Source organism: Homo sapiens, chromosome 5, assembly GCF_000001405.40.
Source record: "Homo sapiens chromosome 5, GRCh38.p14 Primary Assembly".
Lineage (NCBI taxonomy): Eukaryota > Metazoa > Chordata > Mammalia > Primates > Hominidae > Homo > Homo sapiens.
Genome location: NC_000005.10, coordinates 43,523,916 through 43,547,457, shown reverse-complemented (window position 1 = coordinate 43,547,457; position 23,542 = coordinate 43,523,916). Strand labels below are relative to the sequence as shown.

Below are 23,542 nucleotides of genomic sequence, written 5' to 3'. Positions count from 1 at the left end.
AGTATAGAAGGTGATATGGGCACTGAAAACGAAGGCTACATAAGTGTCACCCCCACCAAAACCCTGCCCCTTGTTTTGCAGGCTCTGAAATTAGCAGTACCAGAAAAGACTGCAATTCTTTTCCCCTATGTGTTGAATTGAATAGTAGTATTAGAGTAGGGGAGGAAAAAAATTGAGAGAATTTGCTTGCCTCATAAGTAGGTCTTTAAAAAAAAGAAAGCCAAACCATAAAATGTCTTGTCTTAGCATTTCTACTTGCCTTTGCTTTCTTTTAAAATTTAAGGATTTCATCTTAATTCCTTGAAAGTCTAATTTAGTCAGTTGAAATTGTTTCATTATACAACATTTAGTTTTTATCCCAGCATATTGGTCATTAACATATTAACGCTTTTTTTTTTTTTTTTTTTTTTTTTTTGATATGGAGTCTTGCCCTGTCTCCCAGGCTGGAGTGCAGTGGCGCAGTCTCAGCTCCCTGCGACCTCCGTCTCCCGGGTTCAAGCGATTCTCCTGCGTCAGTCTCCCAGGTAGCTGAGATTACAGGTGTGCACCACCATGCCCAGCTAATTTTTGTATTTTTGATAGAGACAGGGTTCCACCGTGTTGACCGGGCTGGTCTCGAACTCCTGACCGCAAGTGATCTGCTTGCCTTGGTCTCCCAAAATGCTGGGATTTTACAGACATGAGCCGCTGCACCTGGCCTCATTAATGCTATTTTAAAAGTGAAAAATACAGTAGACAACACTGGCTTAACACAAAATTTCTTAGTCAGTGTGAGACTGGTCAAAAAAAATGGGCCATGATCAGAAATGTAAACTTTAGGTTCTTTAAGTCACTGTTACAAGAGCAACTCAAATTTGGAATATATGGAAGGGAGATTATAATGCAAATTAATGATTATTTTCTATCCTAATGTTTCATTTGGCTGCTTTTCCAAGTTATTCTGGATGGTTACTGGACCCCAAGATTACCTAGCCAACTGTCAGTTTTGAGGAAGTACCTGAGATGTTAGGAAGACAGAACTGCACTGTTTGTCCTCATTTCTGCTTTCTGCTGATAAATGGATTGAAAAGGAATATGAGATAAGAAAATGAAACAAATGTATTTATTTCTTGTTGCCTTTCTGGCTTCCTCCACTATTTAGTTTCAGTTATTCAGTAGGCTGCGTAATTATACTTATTCAGGGCTGGACAAAGGGTCAGTAACCTGATAAGCGTCAACTATTTCTCTGATTGTCAAATATGTAGTCAGTATGTTTAATGTTTTAATATTCTATGATCAATGATGCATAGGTTTATCAATAGCTGCTAAGTTTCATTGAGGTAATTTATGGAAATTTACTCATAGCAACTAACAAACGAGGAAGTATTACAAAAGATGACAGATTAGGCCAGGCGCAGTGGCTCATGTCTGTAATCCCAGCACTTTGGGAGGCCGAGGCGGGTGGATCACCTGAGGTCAGGAGTTCAAGACCAGCCTGACCAACATGGAGAAACCCTGTCTCTACTAAAAAAAAATACAAAATTAGCTGGGCTTGGTGGTGCATGCCTGTGATCCCAGCTACTCGGGAGGCTGAGGCAGGAGAATCGCTTGAACCCGGGAGGCGGAGGTTGCAGTGAGCCGAGATTGCGCCACTGCACTCCAGCTTGGGCAACGAGCGAAACTCTGAATCAAAAAAAAAAAAAATGACAGATTAAATACACATTCAACTCTGATATCTCCCAAACACCACTAAAATGATGCTATGGGGATTTTTAAAAGGCGGAAGCTCATAGGGACAGAGAAGAGGAAAAGAAAAGCACTAGTTTTGAAGACTAGAAAGCAGGTGGGTGAGTGGTACCTGATTTGGCAGATCTAACGTTGAATTCCAAGCCAGTGGTGGTAAAGCTGAGAATCACCATGACTTACAGTGCAAAACCTAAAAGGTTCTAAAATAAGGATGGAATGAGGCTAAAAGGATTGCTTGAGAATCTAAAAAGTTAGACCATCCAGATCTTTTTACACTGAACAGCCGGTTTGAAATTTTGTTGTAACCCTTCTTATGAAATTAACAAAGGACGTACTCTGTCAAAAAGAGGAGTTATGCCACGGATGAAGACATGGGAACCAGGAAAAGGAACTCTACAGGAGAGACTAAGTGAACTGTCCAGATGATGGTTCAAAGGAGATCTCAAAACAATAGCAGCATGCATAGTAGGTCTGAAGCAGCCAGGCTTCACTGGACTAGGTCAGAAGGCTCCAGGAAAGACTTCCGTAATAAGATGAGCACACATGCTGTAAGACATAAGAAGAAATTTACAGAGTAGTGAGTTTAGGGATAAATCAATGAGAAGAATATAAAAGTGTAGTAAAAACTGAATCTAGGGAAGACAAAGTTGTGCAAAAGTAAAAGCAGTGTAATACATGGTTCAGCTATAAATGAAAACACAGCAAATGAATAAAATCATAACCATACTGTGATAGGAGGAAATAGTAGAGTGGGGTGAAATTAAGCAGGGTGAAAGCTAAAAGCTCATCTTCCATGATGGGAAACTGTAAGTTGAGTATCCCGTATCTGAAATGCTTGAGATTTCAAGCATTTCAGATGGATTTTTTCAGATTTAGCATATCCAGTATATAATGAGACACCTCAGGGAGGGTACCTAAGTATATTACAGCTGAAGGGGGTTGACAGGGTCTTTTTTCCTTTGGGGATGCTGAATAAATTATGTGTTGTACACCTGTGTTTTGACTGACCTGTCACATGAGGTCAGGTGTGGAATTTTCCACTTTTGGCATTATGTGGACACTCATATTTTCTGTTTTTGGAGGATTTTAGATTTTTGGACAGGGATGCTCAAGTTGCAGTAAGAAATAACATCTAAACTGAAAAATTACGTAGTGCGGAGATATGGGGATTAAAACATTTTTGGCTGAAGAAGTCAAAAGTGGTTGTCTTTGGGAGTAAAACCGGGATGTAAGTAGGAAACTGTTGAATGACAAGCCTTATAGAACTTGTCTTTAAATCGTGTTATAACACTAAAAAGAAGCTAAAGGAAAACATGCAGTGCCAATAATGGGAAAAATGTAAGGGTGAACCAAGTCTTGGGTACCAGCTAAACATACATGATGTCAGGAGAAATCACTCTTTCTCCCTTAATGTGACATATACTGGCCCCATGTGAGCAAGGAAATAATTAGAAATAAAAGTTAGTAAGTAGACCCAACATATAGAGTCAGAGGGGTAGCAGGACATTTGTTAGATCTAGATTCTATGTTCAATTACATTTGTGGCCAAGTCCCTTAGCTTTTTTTTTTTTTTTTTTTTTTTTTTTAAAAAGATGGGGGCTTTGTTTTGTCACCCAGACTAGAGTGCAGTGGCGTGACCACAGCTCACTGCAGCCTTGAACTCCTACACTCAAGTGATCCTTCCACCTCAGCCTCCAGAGTAGCTGGGACTACGGTGCATGCTACCGTGCCCAGCTAATTTTAAAATTTTTTTATAGAGATGGTGGTCACACTGTGTTGACTAGGCTGGTCTTGAACTCATGGCCTCAAGCGATCCTCTGGCCTTGGCCTTCCAGAGTACTAGGAATACAGGCATGAGCCACTGTGCCCGACTTCTTAACCTTTTAATGTGTGTTTTCTTACCTAATATTAGATGGTAAACTATGTTCTCTACTATTCTTTAGAAATTGCAATTAAAGTTAAACTTGCTGAACACTGCTTCAGTTATATCAACAATCTTTGATGTGTAGTGTTTTCTTACTTTTTTTTTTTTCTGTTTTTAAGTAGCTTAGCTGTTTTCATTTCCCCTTTACCCAATCATTCTTGGAGTGTTTAAGTGTTAGTTGCTTGTGCCAGTTACCATTAATCACCTCTTTAAAGTCTAACTGAAGCTCAGGGAGGTTTACTGATGTCCAAAGTCATGAAGCAAAATGCCAGGGAATCTTGTCCTGGACTGCCAAACACTAAAAAGTCTGTGCTTTCCTGCCCCAAGAAGCCCCACTGGTCAACAGTTTGGCAGTATTCTCATTCATAATTGTCACTGTGCAGTTGAGGACATGTACAGGTTTTCTGCAAAAAATGGGTTAGCATCAGGAGACATTATCTCTTCGCTTTCTGGTAGCCTCAGGTAACTGATGGGTTTTTTCTTTTTTTTTTTTTTTTTGTACTTATTGTGGTTCTTGCTGTAAGGTTGGGAGGGAAAGTGAATTTAATTTCCTTAAGCCTAACAATGACAAAAGACTTGTATATATGGTCAGTTTGGGGAGTCAATTTTTTCTTCTTTAGAATGTTGCTGTTAAGTATTTACATTAATAATGATGTACCTATGTCATATAACACTTTTCTTCTTTTTAAAAGGCCACATCTATCCCAAATTTCTCTTATATGGGAGCTCGCCTGTGTAATTACCTGTCCCATCATCTGACAATTAGCCCACAGAGTGGCAACTTCCGCCAATTGCTACTTCAAAGGTCAGTGTAAATGTGAAATTAAAGGAAAACTACTTCTAAATATACTAGAATTTGACCATTCCTCAGACCATATATTATAAAAAGCTGCAGGAAAGAATAGGGCAGCCTATTCTTATGTGCATTATATTTGAAGTTTATAGTTCAGTATACCAGTCTTTTTTCTGTAATGGTCTGTGAATTTGGTTTTGTGTTTAGAAAGATCTTTCCTTTTCCAAGATCTTAAAAATAAACACTTATGTAATTCTTATTACTTTGGTAGCTTTGGTTTGAATAAGGATCTAATTTTATTTAGATTAGAATAAAAGTGAATAATCCATTTTTCCTTATTGATTTGAATTGCCACTTTTATCACACTTGCATTATTTGGGTTTTGATTCTGGATTTTCATTCCATTTATCACTTATTCTGTTCCTTTTTATTACCATACAATTCATACAATAGCTATTAAAAAGCTTTTTTTTTTTTTTTTTGAGATGGAGTCTCACTTTGTCTCCCAGGCTGGAGTGCAGCGGCACGCTCTTGGCTCACTGCAACCTCTGCCTCCCACAGGTTCAAGTGATTTTCCTGCCTCAGCCTACCCAGTAGCTGGGACTACAGGCACCCGCCACCATGCCCGGCTAATTTTTGTATTTTTAGTAGAGACGGGTTTCACCATGTTGGCTAGGCTGGTCTCAAACTCCTGATCTCATGTGATCCACCCACCTCAGCCTCCCAAAGTGCTGGGATTACAGGCATGAGCCACCCTGCACTGCCAAAAGCTATCATTTTTAAAAATATCTTAGGGTAATTAGTTTTTTGTTCTTTTGTGGGATTTTTTTTTTTTTTTCCGAGACCGAGTCTTGCTCTGTCACCCAGGCTGGAGTGCAGTGGCTCAGTCTTGGCTCACTGCAACCTCTACCTCTGAGGCTCAAGCGATTCTCGTGCCTCAGCCTCCCCAGTAGCTGGGATGATGGGTGCGTACCACCATGCCCAGCTAATTTTTGTATTTTTAGTAGAGATGGGGTTCACCATGTTGGCCAGGCTGGTCTCGAACTCCTGACCTCAAGTGATCCGCCCACCTCAGCCTCCCAAAGTGCTGGGATTACAGGCGTGAGCCACCACGCCCAGCCTGTCAAATATTCTTTGCTATGCTTGTTTCGTCTAATGAACTTTAGAATCAGTGTTTGAAATTACACAAGTCTTGCTAGTATGTTAGATATTTTGGAGATAATACTCAATTTATAAGCTAATTTAGAGAAAACTAGTTTTCTTATAATTTGATGTCTTCAGTAACAAGGTTATCTTCAAGTTTATTATAGTTCGTCCATTAGTTTTTTAAGTGACTTTTAATGATTGCAAAGCATTCCATTGTGTGGTTAAACTGCAGTGGAACAGAATAAAGATTCTAGAAGTAGACCCCAGAGACCCTTGAAAATTCAAGCTTTTGATAAAAAGGATAAATTGTGCTGGTAGCATAACTGGATAGTCATTTGGGAAAAAAAGATGAGTTCCCATCTCACTCTCTGTGCTGAAATCCCAAATATGTCAGAGACTTATTAAAAGTGAAATGATAGGTGGGGCACAGTGGCTCATGCCTGTAATCCCAGTACTTTGGGAGGCTGAGGTGGGCGGCTCACGAGTTCAGGAGATTGAGGCCATCCTGGCTAACATGGTGAAACCTCATCTTTACTAAAATAACAAAAAAAAACCCTAAAAATACAAAAAAAAAAAAAAAAGCTGGGCGTGGTGGCGGGTACCTTTAGTCCCAGCTACTTGGGAGGCTGAGGCAGGAGAATGGCGTGAACCCGGGAGGCGGAGCTTGCAGTGAGCAGAGATCGCGCCACTGCACTCCAGCCTGGGTGACAGCCAGACTCCGTATCAAAAATAATAATAATAATGAAAATACTTGGAATAGCGCCAAATAGATATAGATACAGTTTGGAAAAATACAAATGTCAAAGTTATAAAAAGATATCTAACCATACTTATAATTAAAGAAACACAAATTATAGCTTCTGTAAAGATTCAGAGTGGGTACTTGTAGGCGGTAGGACGCCAGGAATGCTCACTCATATTTTTCAGTGCTTCTCACCCCCGGCTGTGCCTTAGAGTTACCTAGATACTTAAAGCCGAGATCCTGTCTGAACCCTTTGAAATTCTGGTGTAATTAGACGAGGTGGAGCTAGGACATGGTTTTTTAAAGCTTCCCAAGTGATTCTACTGTATAGCTATGATTGAGACCCACTCTTCTCATTGACTGTTACCCACCATATGTGCTTCTGTAGTACTGTAATCCTGTCAATAATAATGTAGAGAAATACTAGTGAGCTAACAAGTAAAAAGCAAAGCATAATTCTGCTACCTCTTTAAAAAATATATACATACTTTGAAAAAGATGGAACGGAAGTTACCTTCACAGCAGTTATCTCTTGTTTTTAGTAGTAGTGCAGGTGACTTTGTTCTTTATACTTTTTCTGTTTTAACCTTTCCAAAATAAACATACATTGCTTTTATAATTGAAAATCTTTAGCTTAAAAATTTGACTTTTCACCTAGTCAATTATGTAGGTATTTGTTTGCATGTACATAATCATATCCTAACGTACAGTCTGTCATAGCATTTTATGAAAAAAAAAGTTATTTCATCAACTCTTACCGACAAAGTTGTAACAGAAAAGCAGCCAACAGGTGTTTTTAAATAACTGATTTGGCATTAATTAACTGATCTCTTCCATTATTAACCAGAATGTACTATCTATAAATATCCCAACTTTTTTCTGATGAGGAATTTAATATGTACAAGATGATAACAAATATCTTACCACATTTGACTTAAACAGAAGATGTTGCTCAGTTAATATACCTCGTAAACATTGGAATTGGCCACGTAAGCACAGTAAGCTGTGCTGGGGTTTCGTGGTTGGCAAACTGACCCAGAGTCAATTACTGAACAAGAGGTAATTTATTTTTTCTTTGTTAAAAATTGTTTACAAAGTCAACCTAAACTGGCTGCGTGGAAACCATTCAGTACCCATAGCTTTTCCCTTTGTCTTGAAAAGGAAAACTGTCAAAACCAGTTTTGTGAAGCAAGTTACTTTCCCAGAGTTTTCTCACCTTATCAATAAAGATTACAAATACTTAATAACAAAATGATAAACTTTTACAGTCCATTTAAAAAATCTATGTTAGTAACAATATCTGACACTGTAGTTCACTTATGAAGGCAGTGACAGGATTATTGTGCCTAGTTTAGTTACCTTGTAGGAACTATGACTGACAATAAGCTCCAAGAAGAGGATTTCTTCTTTTTCTCCTCTGTGTGAAGCAAATGGGTCAAGTCAGGGGCAAAGAGAGCAAGGAAAAATCAGTTATTTGAAGCTGTCAGTCTCATTGGAAATAGAAAACAAGTCCGGTGCTTTCTATATTGTGGTTTTAATGGGGGAATTTTTTCCTCACATTAGTACTTCTCTGATACGTATAATGGAAATTACAAGAATAATGGACTTAAAAACAATTCATTTTATTTTCAGTTGGAGGTTGTGTGTGTGTGTGTGTGTGTGTGTGTGTGTGTGTATTTAAAGATCCTTTTCAAAGTTGTAGTATTAAAAAAAAAATTACAGAGACAATTTGGGTAAAATCAGTGCTTTCTTAGTAAAAAACCTATAAGACAAGGTGAGGCTCTCTCTCCCCTCTTTGGGCTGCCAGTATGCTGTGAATCAGATTACACCTATGTTGCTTAAACATATTAAATTTGATAAAAATCGTTGAAAATAAAACTATCAGTTTTTTCAAACTGGGAGACTTAGTATGAAAAGATGGTGTATATTCTAGCCTCTTCAATAGTCAGGAACAGTTTCTTTATTGTAGAAAGAGCATTGGGACATTGTCCTTGCCTCTTGCTGTGGACAACCAAACTGACAAATGGTTATTTTGTTTGACTATTTAAAAAGCAAAGCAATGTGAGATTATAAAAGATATGTCTTTAATTAGATGTCGGACTGAATATGAAGTTAAAGATCAAGCTGCAAAAGGGGATGAAGTTACTCGAAAACGATTTCATGCATTTGTACTCTTTCTGGGAGAACTTTATCTTAACCTGGAGGTGAGAAGTTTTTCTTTTGTTAAGTACTAACAAGGCCTGAGAACATAAGTTGATCTCAATGAGGAATTTGTGTTCACATTGTACTTTTACAACATTAAGAGTGAAATGAAAGAGAGAGGAAAGAAAACATGTTTCGGCACCTGCTAGTGTCTGTGGTTTACTGGACCGTCTGTCCATAACATTTACTCATGGACAGAATGTTAGGAAATAATTACTGAGGTAAAAATCTGCGTACTTTTAGGAAGCTGTGGTTTACATGCAAATTTAAGTTCTTGAGATATCAACAGTGATACCTTTTTGAGTTCTTACATCTTATATATTAATACATTTAGTATGTTGACTTTCAGATGGTGGCTCAAAGCAGTTTACTCTGCAGAACTCTGAGTGAAAAGAGAGACTAGAGTCTCTCTAGGCTTTTCACTCTAATTCACCCAAATAGTTTTTTAAAAATATTTTTTTAATTGACAAAAATTATATCTTTATGGTACACAACACTTTGATATATGCATACATCGTAGAATGGCTAAATCAAGCTATTTAACATATGCATTACTTGACATACTTTTTTGTGTTAAGAACACTTAAAATTTTTAGCAGTTTTCATGTATACAATATATTGTTAACTATAGTCATCATGGTGTACAAGAGATCTCTTGAACTTATTCCCCCTAAATGAAATTCTGTGTCCTTTGACCAACATCTCCCCAATACCCCAACCCCTAAGAATAGTTCTTTTTTGTCCTATTTTATATATTAATCTTCCACATAAAAATGCATTTGTACAAAGTCTACAGCTAAACGTATTTATAAATTTGGGTGGTATACTTAAGTATATGCTTGTTAGTAGGCAATAGAAGTGCTGGATTCAGCACGGCATTATTACTGTGTAATAGATTTGCTTGATTTTTTTTTTTTTTTTTTTTTTTTGGGTGGGGACAGTCTCGCTCTGTCACCCAGGCTGGAGTGCAGTGACGTGATCTCGGCTCACTACAACCTCCGCCTCCCGGGTTCAAGCGATTCTCCTGCTTCAGCCTTCTGAGCAGCTGGGATTACAGGCACGTACCACTATGCCTGGCTAATGTTTATATTTTTAGCAGAGATGGGGTTTCACCATGTTGGCCACGCTGGTCTCAAACTCCTGACCTCAGGTGCTACCCGCCTCAGCCTCCCAGAGTGCTGGGATTACAGGCATGAGCCACCATGCCCAGCCTCTGCTTGATTTTTTAAATTAGTGAATATCAGATATAAGCTTATACCTTCTTACACCCTGATTTGAGAACTTAAGATCGTAAACGCCATAATATCAGAAACATCATAAGACAATGTGAATCTATCAAATGTGCATCTCAGTCATTGTATCTAAAAGGTCTATGTCCAGTCCAGAGCCTAACTTACTATGCCTTTTTACCACAGGTAGACTTAGTTTTTTGAAAAATCTTATGCCATGTTCTTTTTCAGTCTAATTTTTGTTTAAGCCAAAATATGGACAGCAATCTAAAATAAATACTGTTGAGCATTTTCTATATGGAGATAATGATGCTAGGTCAATGGGGGATGTAAAGATAAGGCTTAGTTCCTGCACCTAAAATTCTTCTACACAGTGATATAAGATACATATACCACTCTGATGCAAAATACCATATTTTAAAATATTTTAAAAGCAGAATAAAATGCTGTGTGTTCAAAAAAAAGTGGTAGTTGAACAAACTAAAGAAAGCTTTATGAAGTAGTAACATCAAAGTGGGCTTAAATTATGCTGACTCTGGTATTAAATTTTACCCATAGCTTACCAGTTTTATTAGAGGTCTTAGTTACATATAAAGTAATTCTAACAAATTCTGTGAAGATATCAGAGTGTGTTCCTGTGACTTTTGTGATTTAGCTAAAATGCTTATTTTGCCAACACCTTGTTAGTTCATTTATGTATCTGTATTATATTTTGGCATCATTCCTTTTGTTCTTTTTTTTGGTCCCGAAAGATCAAGGGAACAAATGGACAGGTTACAAGAGCAGATATTCTTCAGGTTGGTCTTCGAGAATTGCTGAATGCCCTGTTTTCTAATCCTATGGATGACAATTTAATTTGTGCAGTAAAATTGTTAAAGGTAGGTTTTTTTTTTTAATTTAACTAATTTACGTATTTACTTATGATTTAGAGGAAGGTTAGTCTATATAGTATACAGATGAATTCAAGATTTATCACTTTAAGGTAAATATTGACATTTTACTTTTTTCTCGAATATTTTGGAAAAGCGAGATATACTTATTGTTTAATATATGAAGCAAGTTCAGAAGTGAAAAATGGAAGTCCTTTACGCCATTTCCATTTGCAAATTCTGTCTTCTTCCCTTCTTATCTCTGTATATGTGCTCTTATTAAATAAGATCTTACTCTGTTCTGGCTTTTTGTTTTTGTTTTTGCCACCTAATGAAACATCTTAGATTTTTCCATGGCACAGAGATTTACCTCTTTTATTGAATAACTTCCTAGTATTCTGTCATATGCATATGCATTGTTTATCCATTCCGTAACATCTATCAATGTTTACTAATGAATATTTGGATTATCTTCAGTTTAGCCATGGCAGCATTGCTTGTAATCTTTCCTCTTGTCATATATATGTGCAGATACTTTTGTAGGTTAAATTCTTAAACACGGATTTGGTGGGTGGACGAGCATATGTATTTTACGACAAGTAATGGCTAATTTGCCTTCCAAATGCTGAACCAGAGTATAGCCCCATCAGCAGAATGAGTACATCTCTTCCTACATCCTTATAGTGATGGATATAATCAATCTTGGTTTTTGTTTTGTCAGATGATTTTAAGCATTTCTTCATGTTTATTAGCCATTTGTTTATTATTTCCTATAAATTACCTGTTTAAATCCTTAACTGATTTATTTCCTGATGAAATGCATGTTTGTGTTTTTTTTTTTTATTCAAAGCTTCTATACTTGTTGCTTGCTGTATATTTCAAAAAAAGTGACATGTTCATTAAAATCTAATAGCCTATCTTAGTCATACAGGGAATATAACAGTCGTTGACATAAAACCCATGATTAAAGTTCTGCTATTGTTTTTTTTGTTTTAGTTTCTCTCAGTCAAGAGAAATATAGAGGGCGTAGAGATCACTGAATATTAGATGGTAGACAGAATAATTAGGAATATTAAACTTGCTAAATTCATCTTGTTTAGAGAATGCTTGAACTGTTACTGGTATCTTTTTAGAATTTCTATAATACACTATTGAATTTCTTATTTTACTGACACCTGCTTTTTTAGTTGACAGGATCAGTTTTGGAAGATGCTTGGAAGGAAAAAGGAAAGATGGATATGGAAGAAATTATTCAGAGAATTGAAAACGTTGTCCTAGATGCAAACTGCAGTAGGTAGGAAAAGAAGTAATGTAAATAGCCAGTGCATCTCAATTTCTTGCTTTTTCTTTGGAGATTGTTTTTTAATTTGCTATACTTCAGCAGGGTAAGTTGATGGCTAACGGATATACAAAAATGCTTTTCTTTAAAGGAATAATATTTTACCTATAGTTTCTGCTCACTAGACATTTTTGTGATAGACGTGTCAGATATTTTTGCTCAATTACATTTAGAAATTGAAAAAGCTAATTTTCTTAAGATATGAATTAAATGAAAAACAAAATCCAAATATTAACTGTCCAACAAATAAAAGTACTACTGTAAGTATAGTAGGACACATAAAAATGTTTGAAGGATAGCCACTGCCTTTAAGGTCCATATAGTCATAGTTACGTGGAACATAATTCAAGGCTATTTTTTTTTTAAATGAATTTATGTCATATAGGAAACGTCTAGAAAGTCAAGGCATCAGATGTACCTGTTAAATTAAGGAAATAAAGTTTTGGGAATCTGAGATATTTTAGGGTCTGACAGCCCTTATGGTGGATACACTAACTCATTTTCAACTTTGTCTACAGAGATGTAAAACAGATGCTCTTGAAGCTTGTAGAACTCCGGTCAAGTAACTGGGGCAGAGTCCATGCAACTTCAACATATAGAGAAGCAACACCAGAAAATGATCCTAACTACTTTATGGTATGCCAGTGTTTATATTTTAAGTTTTACTTATTGCTTGAATTCCGTTTTGGAAATTAGAAGAGCTACATAAAGCTGTTCTCAGAATTCAGTGCCTAATAACTGTCTTCACTGGCTTTGAGTGACATGGCAGCCATCAGACTGGGTAAAAAAGAAAAGAGACCTGGAATTCTCCAGTGAAAGGGTGGACTAGAGAAAGATATATCCAATGGCAAGAGAGATTGACAAGGCTTGGACTTAAGTGAGCACAGGGATGCCAGGAAGCAGCTTTTCCAGAGAATTTATAACCAAGGACCTGCATCTCAGACTTTTACTTTGCATGTTGTAGTAACGAAAAATAAAATAAAATTGGTTGGCTGGGCGTAGTGGCTCACACCTGTAATCCCAGCGCTTTGGGAGGCCAAGGTGGGCAGATCACCTGAGGTCAGGAGTTCAAGACCAGCCTGACCAACGTGGAGAAACCCCGTCTCTACTAAAACTACAAAGTCAGCTGGGCGTGGCAGTACTTGCCTGTAATCCCAGCTACTCGGGAGGCTGAGGCAGGAGAATTGCTTGAAGCCTGGAGGCAGAGGTTGTGGTGAGCTGAAATCACGCCATTGCACTCCAGCCCAGGCAACAAGAGCACAACTCTGTCTCAGGGAAAAAAAAAAAATGGCTACTAGGCCAGTGATGCCCTGAAGCTCCTGACATGAACAAACATAAAGCAGCTGTGGAGAAATGTTCCTCCAGCCCTGGTCCTGGAAATTCTTAAAAGAAATGGTGGGGTTGGAAACCACAGCTAAAAATGCACTGACACTAAATGACAATGCACAACAGAACAGTTCACTGAAAGACAATAGACAGCACCGTTAGAACCACAAGAACTTGAGATAATGGCATGGAAATCTGAAAACCATAGACTTTCTCAGTGAAGTGAAAATGGCTACCAGGAAGTTAGGTTCCTTTGCTTGTTCTTGCATTATTAGGTGCAGACGGGTGACATCAGCCATGCTTCATTATTGTACTTACAAAAATCAATTCTGAAATGATTACATATTTTTATCACTTTGATTCATCCTAGAATGAACCAACATTTTATACATCTGATGGTGTTCCTTTCACTGCAGCTGATCCAGGTATGTTGTCTCACAGTCATTCCCTCCTCCCAGTTGTTTGGTAAAGTAGTAAATTTACAGAAAACCACATCCTCACCAGCACAAGATTGTAACTTTTTGATGTCTTCACATCATTCTAAAATACCAGTGTAATGGTTTGTCTAATATAGAATGCTCTTCATAGTGACCACTTGAAACATTTCAAATGAAAGTATGATTCCACATATAATGTCTTGTCACTTAACAACAGAGGATGGGAAGAATTCTCAATTAAATGCAACTATTTTAATTTTATATTTCCTCTAACTTTTTTATAATCTTAAATTTTCAGGTGATTAGAATGGAGGGGAAAGACGATTCTAGTTCACTGCATAGTCAGCAACATATATTAATATGGGTTAATACTTTACACGAAGAATTACACATTTCATTCATACTTGGTGTGTGACAGTTAATTAAAATCCAAATCTCTGCACATTTCCTCTTCCAGAAGAGGACCATTTATAGAAAGATTGCCTTAATTGTATTAGATGGAACTGTAGAGTGAGGAAGAGAAATTTTTCCCTTTGGTACAAACTGCAACCAGCTTATGGTTGGAATTTTTCCATTTGTTTCCTCTGGATTCCAAGCATTGACTGTCCTGTGTCTCTAGCACAGAGAAGTTTTTTTAGGGCAAGGAAGTAGAATTAAGTTACACGCTATGGGCATCTTAAACTTCACTAAATGTTACTAAATTGTTTTCTAGCATGATTATGCCACTTAATCTTCCCATCAGCAGCACATGAGGGTTCCTGCTCCTCATCTTTGGCAATACTTTTTATTAAACTTAATTTTTGTCCATCAGATTGTATGAAATTCTATCTTGCTGATATTTTATTTCCCTGACAAGTGATATTGAAGTTTTCTTGTTCTTGTTGACCTTTTTGATTTCTTTCTTTGAGAATTGCCTGCTAATACTCTTTGTTCATATTTCTGTTGGATCATTTGTCTGTCTTACTGATCTGTAATTCCTTTTGTAGTCTAGAACAAAGTGATTCTTAGCTGAGGGTTTTGGTTACCTTCTTTCTCTCAGTATTTGCCTGTCTTTGCATTTTGTTTATAATGTCATGTAGAACCTTTGAGTTTTAATGTGAACAAAATTTATCAGTCTTGTTTGTAATTTCTGTGGTTTAAGAAAGTTTCCTTACCATTTCTGTTTTCTTCTAAAAATCATTGTTCTTTTTTATTTTTAGGTCTTTAATCTACCAGTGCAATTTTTATATAGGATGATATCATAGGAATTATCTTTTCCATTGCCTGTTGTCTCAACAATTGGTATTAAGCCATCCTTCCTTTCCTAGTTATAATAAGCCCCCTTTGTTGTATACTATGTAACTCTTCTATCAAATTGTGTCTTATTCCTGTGTTTGTGTGAATCTTTTTTTCTGTTAATCTCTTTCTATGCCAATACTACACTTAAATTATTTTTACCTTACTGTGAATCTTGCTATGTCTGGTAAGACAAATCTTTCCTCTTATTCTTAAAAATTACCTTGATTTATTTTGATTATTTGTTTTTTATTTTTTCTAACCTGTTTAATTGTTTCTAGTACTGTTCGATTTACAGAAATTCAGTTTGGTTGTTCAGTTTCTTTTCAAGGAAAAGAAGTAATGTAGACAGCCAGTAGATCTCAGTTTCTTTTTCTTAAACGTTTTTTAATCTGCTATACTTCATGAAAGTAAAAGAAATCTTACAGTTTTACAGAAAAATCAAGCTAAATTTTGTTTCTGCATTTTGTTCAAATAATCTTGACCTTTTCTCAGAGTTTCAAGTTATTTTTTCTCATCATTCTAAACATGCTTACTTCTGTCTTATATTTTTGTTTTATCTCTTAATTATAACCCTTCTGTTATTTCTGATCATCACACATAAAATTTTTGCCTTAACCGTCTTAAACTTTTATTTGGAAATGATTTCAAACTTACAGAAAAGTTACAAAAGTAAAATTGTACAAGGAATACCTTTTACCCAGGTGTACTTTTTGTTAACAGTTACTTGCTTTATCATTTGTGCTCTTTCCACACACTTTTCTTTTTTTCTCTTTTTTTTTTTTTTTTTTTTTGAGACAGAGTCTCACTCTGTTACCCAGGCTGGGGTGCGGTGATGCAACCTCGGCTTACTGCAACCTCCACCTCCTGAGTTCAAGCAATTCTCCTGCCTCAGCCTCCCAAGTAGCTGGGATTACAGGCCTGTGCCACCACGCCTGGCTAATTTTGTATTTTTTTTTTTTTTTTATTGAGACAGGGTTTCACCATGTTGGTCAGGCTGGTCTTGACTTCCTGACCTTGTCCACACACTTTTTTTTTTTTTCTTAAACCATTTGAAGTTTCATATTAATATGACCCTGATTAAATGCTTCAGTGCTTTGTCTTTTTTCTTTTTTCTTTTTTCATTTTTTTTTTAATGAAAAACACTGTGGCTTGGATTATAGGAACCTCTGTCCAAAATGGTTTATATTTCCTTCTGCCAGGAGCCACAGAGTAGGTATCACTGACTTGGACAAATTTTTTGTTTTCTTGTCATAGGGGTTCTTTATGTGGGTAGTAGGAATTTGAGGTGCAGGCCCATTGTTAAAAATTCTCTGGGGCACCAATTTCTACAAAGTGCTCTGTCCCTATTCCAAACCCAGGCAGACATGACCAAGCTTCCTGCTATCTCGCAGGGAAGATAAAATACCACTGAGATATTTCTTGGTCTTTTTTCCTGATTCACCTTTTGTTTAAGATACCAGACCTTTGAGGGTCCCAGGTTTGTGCAGGTGAGGTTGGGCATGGAGCATGGATTTCATTTTCCTGTTTCACATGGGGCCCAAGACCTTGCTTTCTGGCTTTCTGTGGGTTTTAAAATCCAAGCCCCTTAGTTACCGAGACCAACATCATCTGTCAGCCTCCCAGCTGCAGCAGCTGCAGTTTATATATGGCTTTCAGTTCCTTCTTCATTTGTGACCTGATGACTTGGATTTTCTTTTTTGTGAACTTATCCATACATTTAAAAGAATGCCTGTCTTTTTGTAGCAGGAAGGTTTTACTGTTAAAACGGTCTCTAAATTGTCAAAATTGGGTATCAAAATGTCCCCAGCCCTTGAAGCTGGAGTTACGGTTTTATACAGACTGACACAGTCTTGGAAGAACATGGCTTTTACCCAGTCTAATATAATTGCAAAATTTCCGTTGGCTTCTGTTCATAAGAAACTATAAGGTAACTAGTCTTAATATATACTGATTCATTTTTTTATTCAGAGGTTAGGACTTCATAAAGAAATACTTAACTTAAAAGGTACCCAATAACTCTTCCTAAGACAATTGGCAGATAGGTGTAATATCACCTGTATTACCTTGGAGGACCCAATGAAAGGAAAGTTGGCAGAGCTGAAACGTTTACCAGGTAGCTGCCTTCCCCATCTCTCTGGGAAGAAAGGGAAGGAAAATCCCCCATTGTTAAAACTTTTGGTAGGTTAACTTCATCTGAGGAACAGAGACCAATTGTTGTTACCTGCTTTCTTTACTTCCTTGTGGAGGAGTACAGAGGGAGCTGGAAACCAGTAGTATTTGATTAATATCTTTCCAATGGAAGGACTGTTCTTCCCCAACAGTTATATAACCATTATTTTGTCTGATGGAAAGCAGCAGTAGAGGATATAAACACATTGGCTATGAATGTACATCACCTACAGTGGCTTTGATTTCCAACTTATATCTATAGTACTATATGTAATTACTTTAAGATTTCTGAGCATGCAGGGGGGCAAAAGTCATAATATTAAAAAACATTTAGGGGTGATTGGTCATTTCATGTGATATTTTTTCAGTATTTAGTTTTTCTCCTATGTTGTCTTACAGATTACCAAGAGAAATACCAAGAATTACTTGAAAGAGAGGACTTTTTTCCAGATTATGAAGAAAATGGAACAGATTTATCCGGGGCTGGTGATCCGTAAGTTTTCTTCAGTTACTAACTTCGTGAAATTTCTGTGTCTAATTTATAGGTGGAGATTAGACAAAGTAGCTCATGAAGGAATGGTGTTTGGGGCCAGGCGCAGTGGCTCGTGCCTGTAATCCCAACACTTTGGGAGGCTGAGGAGGGCAGATCACTTGAGGCCAAGAGTTCAAGACCAGCCTGGCCAACATGGCGAAACCCTGTCTCTACTAAAAGTACAAAAATTAGCCAGGATCACAGAATCACAGCTACTCGGGAGGCTGAGGCACAAGAATTGCTTGAACTTGGAAGGCAGAGGTTGCAGTGAGCCGAGATCGTGCCACTGCACTCCAGCTTGGGAGACATAACTAGATTCTGTCTCAAAAAAAAAAAAGGCATTTTGATTTGATGGTGCTATGTGGTAGTGTTTATGTACTAAAAATTTTCAGAAAATTGTATTAACTCACAGACTAGTTCTGAAAAATGTATAGTTGAGGAAAATAACCATTAAAATATAGTATACTTAAGCATAATTATTTTTTTAAAATAGATTCTATTGTATTTAGACTTTAAGAAGCTCTAAAACTTACTGTAAGATCTTGGGCAACTTCTGTTCTGCTTCTCCATCTATAAAATAAGAATAGTAGTACCTGTTGAGTCTTTTTTTTTTTTTTCTTGAGAACTACATGAGAATACATAAATACTTAGCCTTCCGGCACACAGTAGAAGGCTCAAATCTTAGCTATTAAAGGGTAAGTTAAGAGTAAAGAAAACAGATTACTATGTAAAAATGTTTGAACTGATAAGAAGATGTTAATTATAGGACTGTTTATATATCTGTTTCTTCACCTGCCACTCTTTGTAATTAAAGATCCCTTTAAACATATTACTCACTTACCATCAGAGTGCACTACATTTTCTTATAGAAGGACCAGGAAATTGTGAGGTTTAGTACCAATTCTGTTAACAACTTGTGTATATTTGGACAGGCTACTTAGTTTCTTTTCTTCCTAAGTAGGAGATGGGAGGGAATAAATTATATCTTGAACTTATTTTTTTTTTAATATCTCCTGTGTTGTAGATTTTTTTAAAAAAGTGAACCACTTTTATTCTAGTGATATTTTAATTATGTGTCGGTTTGAGATCTAGAAATACAATTGTTGCTGTACTTCTATATTCTAGTTTAATAGAAAACAAAAAAAATACAGGGATTTAAGGACCCAGGCAGAACTAGGAAAGTTCCATCTACTTGGGTATACCGCTGGAAGATAAAGTTGTTCTTGGCATTGAACTTCAGGTTATCCTCTTAAGTTTATTTGGTAAGCATCATATTCTCTTGCCCTAATGAGCTCATGGTTATTTCAACACATGGCCCTGTATTGGAAATGGGGAAGAAACAGAAAAGGACTCATCAGCAGTTGGTAGGGTTGGCAAGATTGTTTTTTCATGCTTGTAGGTGGAAGGGATTGGATTATTGGAGGGGTGGGGAAGATGTTGATAGAATCATGTTATGGAGGAAAAGGGGTAAGACCTGGAGTCAAATTCTGGCCCCGCCACACACTTAAAATTTTACATTGTTCATTTAACCTTCCAGAATCTCTTTATTTTCCATCTCCAAAATGAAGATGATCGTAATGCATATCTTTTTAAGATGGCTATGGACATTCAGTAAGAATGTGTAGATTAAATCCTTAATTGACACTTTAAATCTTTCCCGCCATACTTAACTATGGGAAGCCTTGCTTTCCACCATTTTAAACTACCTAATAGTTGGAAAAAAATCTGGAATAGATGATCTCAAAAGTAGCTTCCTGTGAAAATCTGATTCCAAATAAATGGGAATGTGACTAAATTGTCATCATGGGAATAACCCAGCAGAAATCATAGCAGGAATAGCACTTTCTGTTATTAAGTAGACACAAAATATTAGTGCATCACTAGAGGTGAATGGCATATTTGAAATTATGTTCTATTAATAGTTATATTCTAATTGTTTGTTGGTAAGGTAAATTTATTAATATCGATCTTGAGCCCCAAGTTTATATGTCAAGCCTTTGATTAACTTTCAGGTTATAGAATTTAACTTATGTCTAAAAGTATATATATTCTTTACTATAATTTCACACACAAGGGACTCAGAATCTGTAAAATTTTACTTACCAAATTAAGCATTTGGTTGTCCGAAGACTGCCATTAATGTAATTCTAAAGTTAGGCTTGTGTTCTATTATAAGTCAGTCTAGGAAAGTTGTATTACATTATTTTTTTCATGATTTAGCATCTTACTTTCTGAGTTGAAAAACCTTACACTTATGAATCATCTTTGCTTTTACAGATACTTGGATGATATTGATGATGAGATGGACCCAGAGATAGAAGAAGCTTATGAAAAGTTTTGTTTGGAATCAGAGCGTAAGCGAAAACAGTAAAGTTAAATTTCAGCATATCAGTTTTATAAAGCAGTTTAGGTATGGTGATTTAGCAGAACACAAGAGAGCAAGAAAATGTCACATCTATACCAAATTAAGGATGTTGAGTTATGTTACTAATGTATGCAACTTTAATTTTGTTTAACACTATCTGCCAAAATAAACTTTATTCCCTATAACTTAAAATGTGTATATATATATAATAGTTTATTATGTACAGTTAATTCTACTGTTTTGGCTGCAATAAAATCGATTTTGAAATAAATGAAATGTTGAAAATTTTGCTAGTTGGTTAGATGCTTATCCTTTAAATTCTACTTTTCTTGAGGGGAAAAAGTCTTCTTCTGGAAATACATATTACTGCAAAAATGTAGCATCCTTTTTTAGGTAGGAGTATTATAGCTTTCATTTTAGTTTGACATTTAGTGTCCCAATGAATTGAATTTCAAATATGAATCATAATCTTGAAAATCTTTAGCACTAAAGTCTTGGAATATATCAACAACTGATTTACATATGCAGATGCTATTTGATACCAAGGGCTTTTTAAATGTCATGGGGGGGAAAAACCCAACTTGGTGAACTCCCAGCTAAACAACCAAGACTTCACTGAAGATTTATTCCAATTCTAGAATTGTTCTTTTTTATTTTTATTTTTTCAACTGACTAACTTCATTACCTTAAAGGCTAGAACATTATTCTGCTTTATTTATATGGCTTTCTCACTTTTATTTTGTAGCATGGGTTGCATCGACTTTTTTACTAGAGAATTTTACTAGATATTTGTCATTCAAGTTTTCATCTGCTTTATAATTGATACACCTTGAGGGTCACTTTTCTAATACTTTTACTATAATGTGGTACCACCTCAGCCCTAATAAATAATATTTTTACCTAATGTCAAATCTTTTTCCAGCTAACTAAAAACTGTGTACAAAAGGATTGCTTGTAAATATGCATGTAAATAGTTCTGTTAATAACCCACTGTTTTACATTTGGTACATCTGTGTCTGCTAATACAGTTAGCTTTCTCACTTTTCTGCTTGTTTGTTCAGTCTGAATTAAAATTAGACTTTGAAAATAAAGCTTAAATAGTTGTTTCCTCTAAATTTTTGAAGTAGCATCTGGTATTTTAAATAATTTGCTGTTGAACTTAAATGACATAATTAATTTACTTAATGGTTTGAAATCAAAGAAATCATATTAGAAGATATTTTATTCATTCTCTGAATAAGAATTCAGTAACAAGTCTACCTTGAAAAACTAGCAAATATAAAACATTAAAACTTTAAAATTCCTTCTATAAAGGAAATAATGTACGTAATTGTGGTTTTTGGAAGTTGTAGTAAGAAATGTTTTTCAAAATGGCTCCTGTAACATGGCAGCTATTAACATAATCTGCAGTTCTCTAAAGATAGCACTGACTATAAATATTGGAGGGAGAGGAGGTGTAGAGAAGAGATGGTACATTAGACCAGGGACAAGGAATGCTAACTGCATATACTTGAAACTTCTAGCAGCTGCTCTGTGAATAACTGTCCAGTATTTGTCTACTAGCTCATTGTCACCAACTACTGCTCTACTCACAGTAGCTACCGACAAGATCAATATCTGTTCCCGGTATTATGCTTAATAAAAAAAGCACAGAAATCTAGCATCTTAAAACAATCATTTTATTATGCTCATGGACTCTATAGTTCAGGAACTTGGAGAGGGCACAATGGGGATGGCTTTATTCTATGATGTCTGAGGCCTAGGCAAGGAAAACTAAGGGCTGAGGGTAATTTGAATATCTGAGAGCTATAATCATCTGAATTCATGGTACTGAGATGACTTTTAAAGCCAAGACTAGATTGGAATCGTTCACCAGAACCATCTACACTTGTCCATGTAGCTTGAACTTCTCACAGCATGTTGCCTGGATTCTGAAGGGCCATTTCAAAAGACCCAGAAAGCAGCTGCATTTGGAAGTTACACAGCATTAGTTCCATTATATTCTCTTGGTCCTAAGGGAGTTACTAAAGCCATATCACATAGGCCATCAAGGAGCATGTGGCCATATTTTAAAACTGATGGCTTGAGCCTGGTGGTCTTTGGTTGACCAGACTTTGCATAATTGACTACACCAGTACATAATGAAAGGAAGAGTTGCCCCCGTCCACAATTGTTGGCCTTTAGGATTGTCATGCCTTAAACAGAAACGTGTCAGCAAGTCTTGAGGAAAGATCATTTTCCAATGAGCAAGGACACAGAGCTGCTAGTAAATATAGTCTTGCGTTCTGGCAAAAAAAAAAAAAAAACCACAAATATTGGTCTTAACCTAGAAGTTGTCATCAACTCTGACCCTCTGTCTTTATGTTGTTAATGCTCTCCAGCCATAGACTACCAGGAACACACTGTACCTGAACATGTTGAGCTTACTGGGTTTTGTTTTTTTTTTTGTTTGTTTGTTTGTTTTTTGAGGCAGAGTATTGTTCTTGTTGCCCAGGCTGGAGTGCAGTGGCGTGATCTCAGCTCACCTCAACCTCTGCCTCCCGGGTTCAAGCAATTCTGCCTCAGCCTCCCAAGTAGCTGGGATTACAGGCACGCACCACCATGCCCGGCTAATTTTGTATTTTTAGTAGAGACGGGGTTTCGCCATGTTGGCCAGGTTGGCCTCAAGCTCCCAATCTCAGATGATCTGCCCACCTCGGCCTCCCAAAGTGCTGGGATTACAGGCGTGAGCCACCTCGCCCGGCCTGAGCTTATTGTTGCAGTAAAGGAGAACATACACCTTGTGGGAGTTGTGGGGTGCATCAGTAAGAGTGTGTTAGAATCTGTGGTAGGATTTGGGCTTTGGTGATTTAGGGGATGGTCTAAAACTTAACGTTCACTCTAGGCTGGGTCTTGCCAGAAAGCAAGCTTAATTCTATAATTAGGTATTTCATTAAATCTTTAGAGAGGACAGATGCATATGGATTAAGTTGTACTTTAGGGGGAAAAATCATTCACATTTAATGAGAGGAGGATGTTTGGTATGAAAGTAAACTCTAGGACTCAAAGTGGCTCAAACTGAAAAAAAAAGCTCCACCACTGTCAGGGGGACAGGCAAGGCAGCTGCAAAGTTAACATGAAACTGTTAGGTCCTGCAGCAGCTATAAAATACCATCATGACTCCCTCATGTGACCACTGCTTTGTTGGCTGTGACACCCTTAGACCTATTTTGCTATAACCCATCTACTACTGGGGATATCCAGTTGCTAAACTTGCCCTCACCTCATTGCAGCACCAATCTCTAGTTAATTCTCACATCTAATCTTGCTACAGAAATAGCATCCAACCCAGAACTGGTCTCCTTTCCCTTATAGCTTGCTCAGAACCCTACACTGGGAACCCAAACCTTACCAAAGATGGCACCCCCTGCCCTCTTGTGGAATGCACCATCTTTGCTGCTTCTGGTTCCCTTGCTTGCAAATCAAT

The 23,542-nt window shown here is 36.7% G+C and overlaps 1 protein-coding gene across 3 annotated transcripts in view; it reads left to right on the top strand.

The window, feature by feature from the left end:
• The window catches only part of PAIP1 (poly(A) binding protein interacting protein 1), a 31,145-nt gene extending 9,954 nt beyond the window's left edge, over positions 1-21,191 (top strand). For all 3 annotated transcript variants that reach the window (NM_183323.3, NM_182789.4, NM_006451.5), the window contains exons 4-11: positions 4,342-4,454; positions 8,423-8,534; positions 10,514-10,639; positions 11,818-11,924; positions 12,488-12,605; positions 13,666-13,720; positions 17,579-17,672; positions 19,989-21,191. In NM_183323.3, the coding sequence (NP_899152.1) occupies positions 4,342-4,454; positions 8,423-8,534; positions 10,514-10,639; positions 11,818-11,924; positions 12,488-12,605; positions 13,666-13,720; positions 17,579-17,672; positions 19,989-20,082 (819 nt within the window). In that variant the 3' untranslated portion in view covers positions 20,083-21,191. The remainder of the gene's footprint in view (positions 1-4,341; positions 4,455-8,422; positions 8,535-10,513; positions 10,640-11,817; positions 11,925-12,487; positions 12,606-13,665; positions 13,721-17,578; positions 17,673-19,988) is intronic.
• The last annotated feature ends 2,351 nt before the right edge of the window (positions 21,192-23,542 follow it).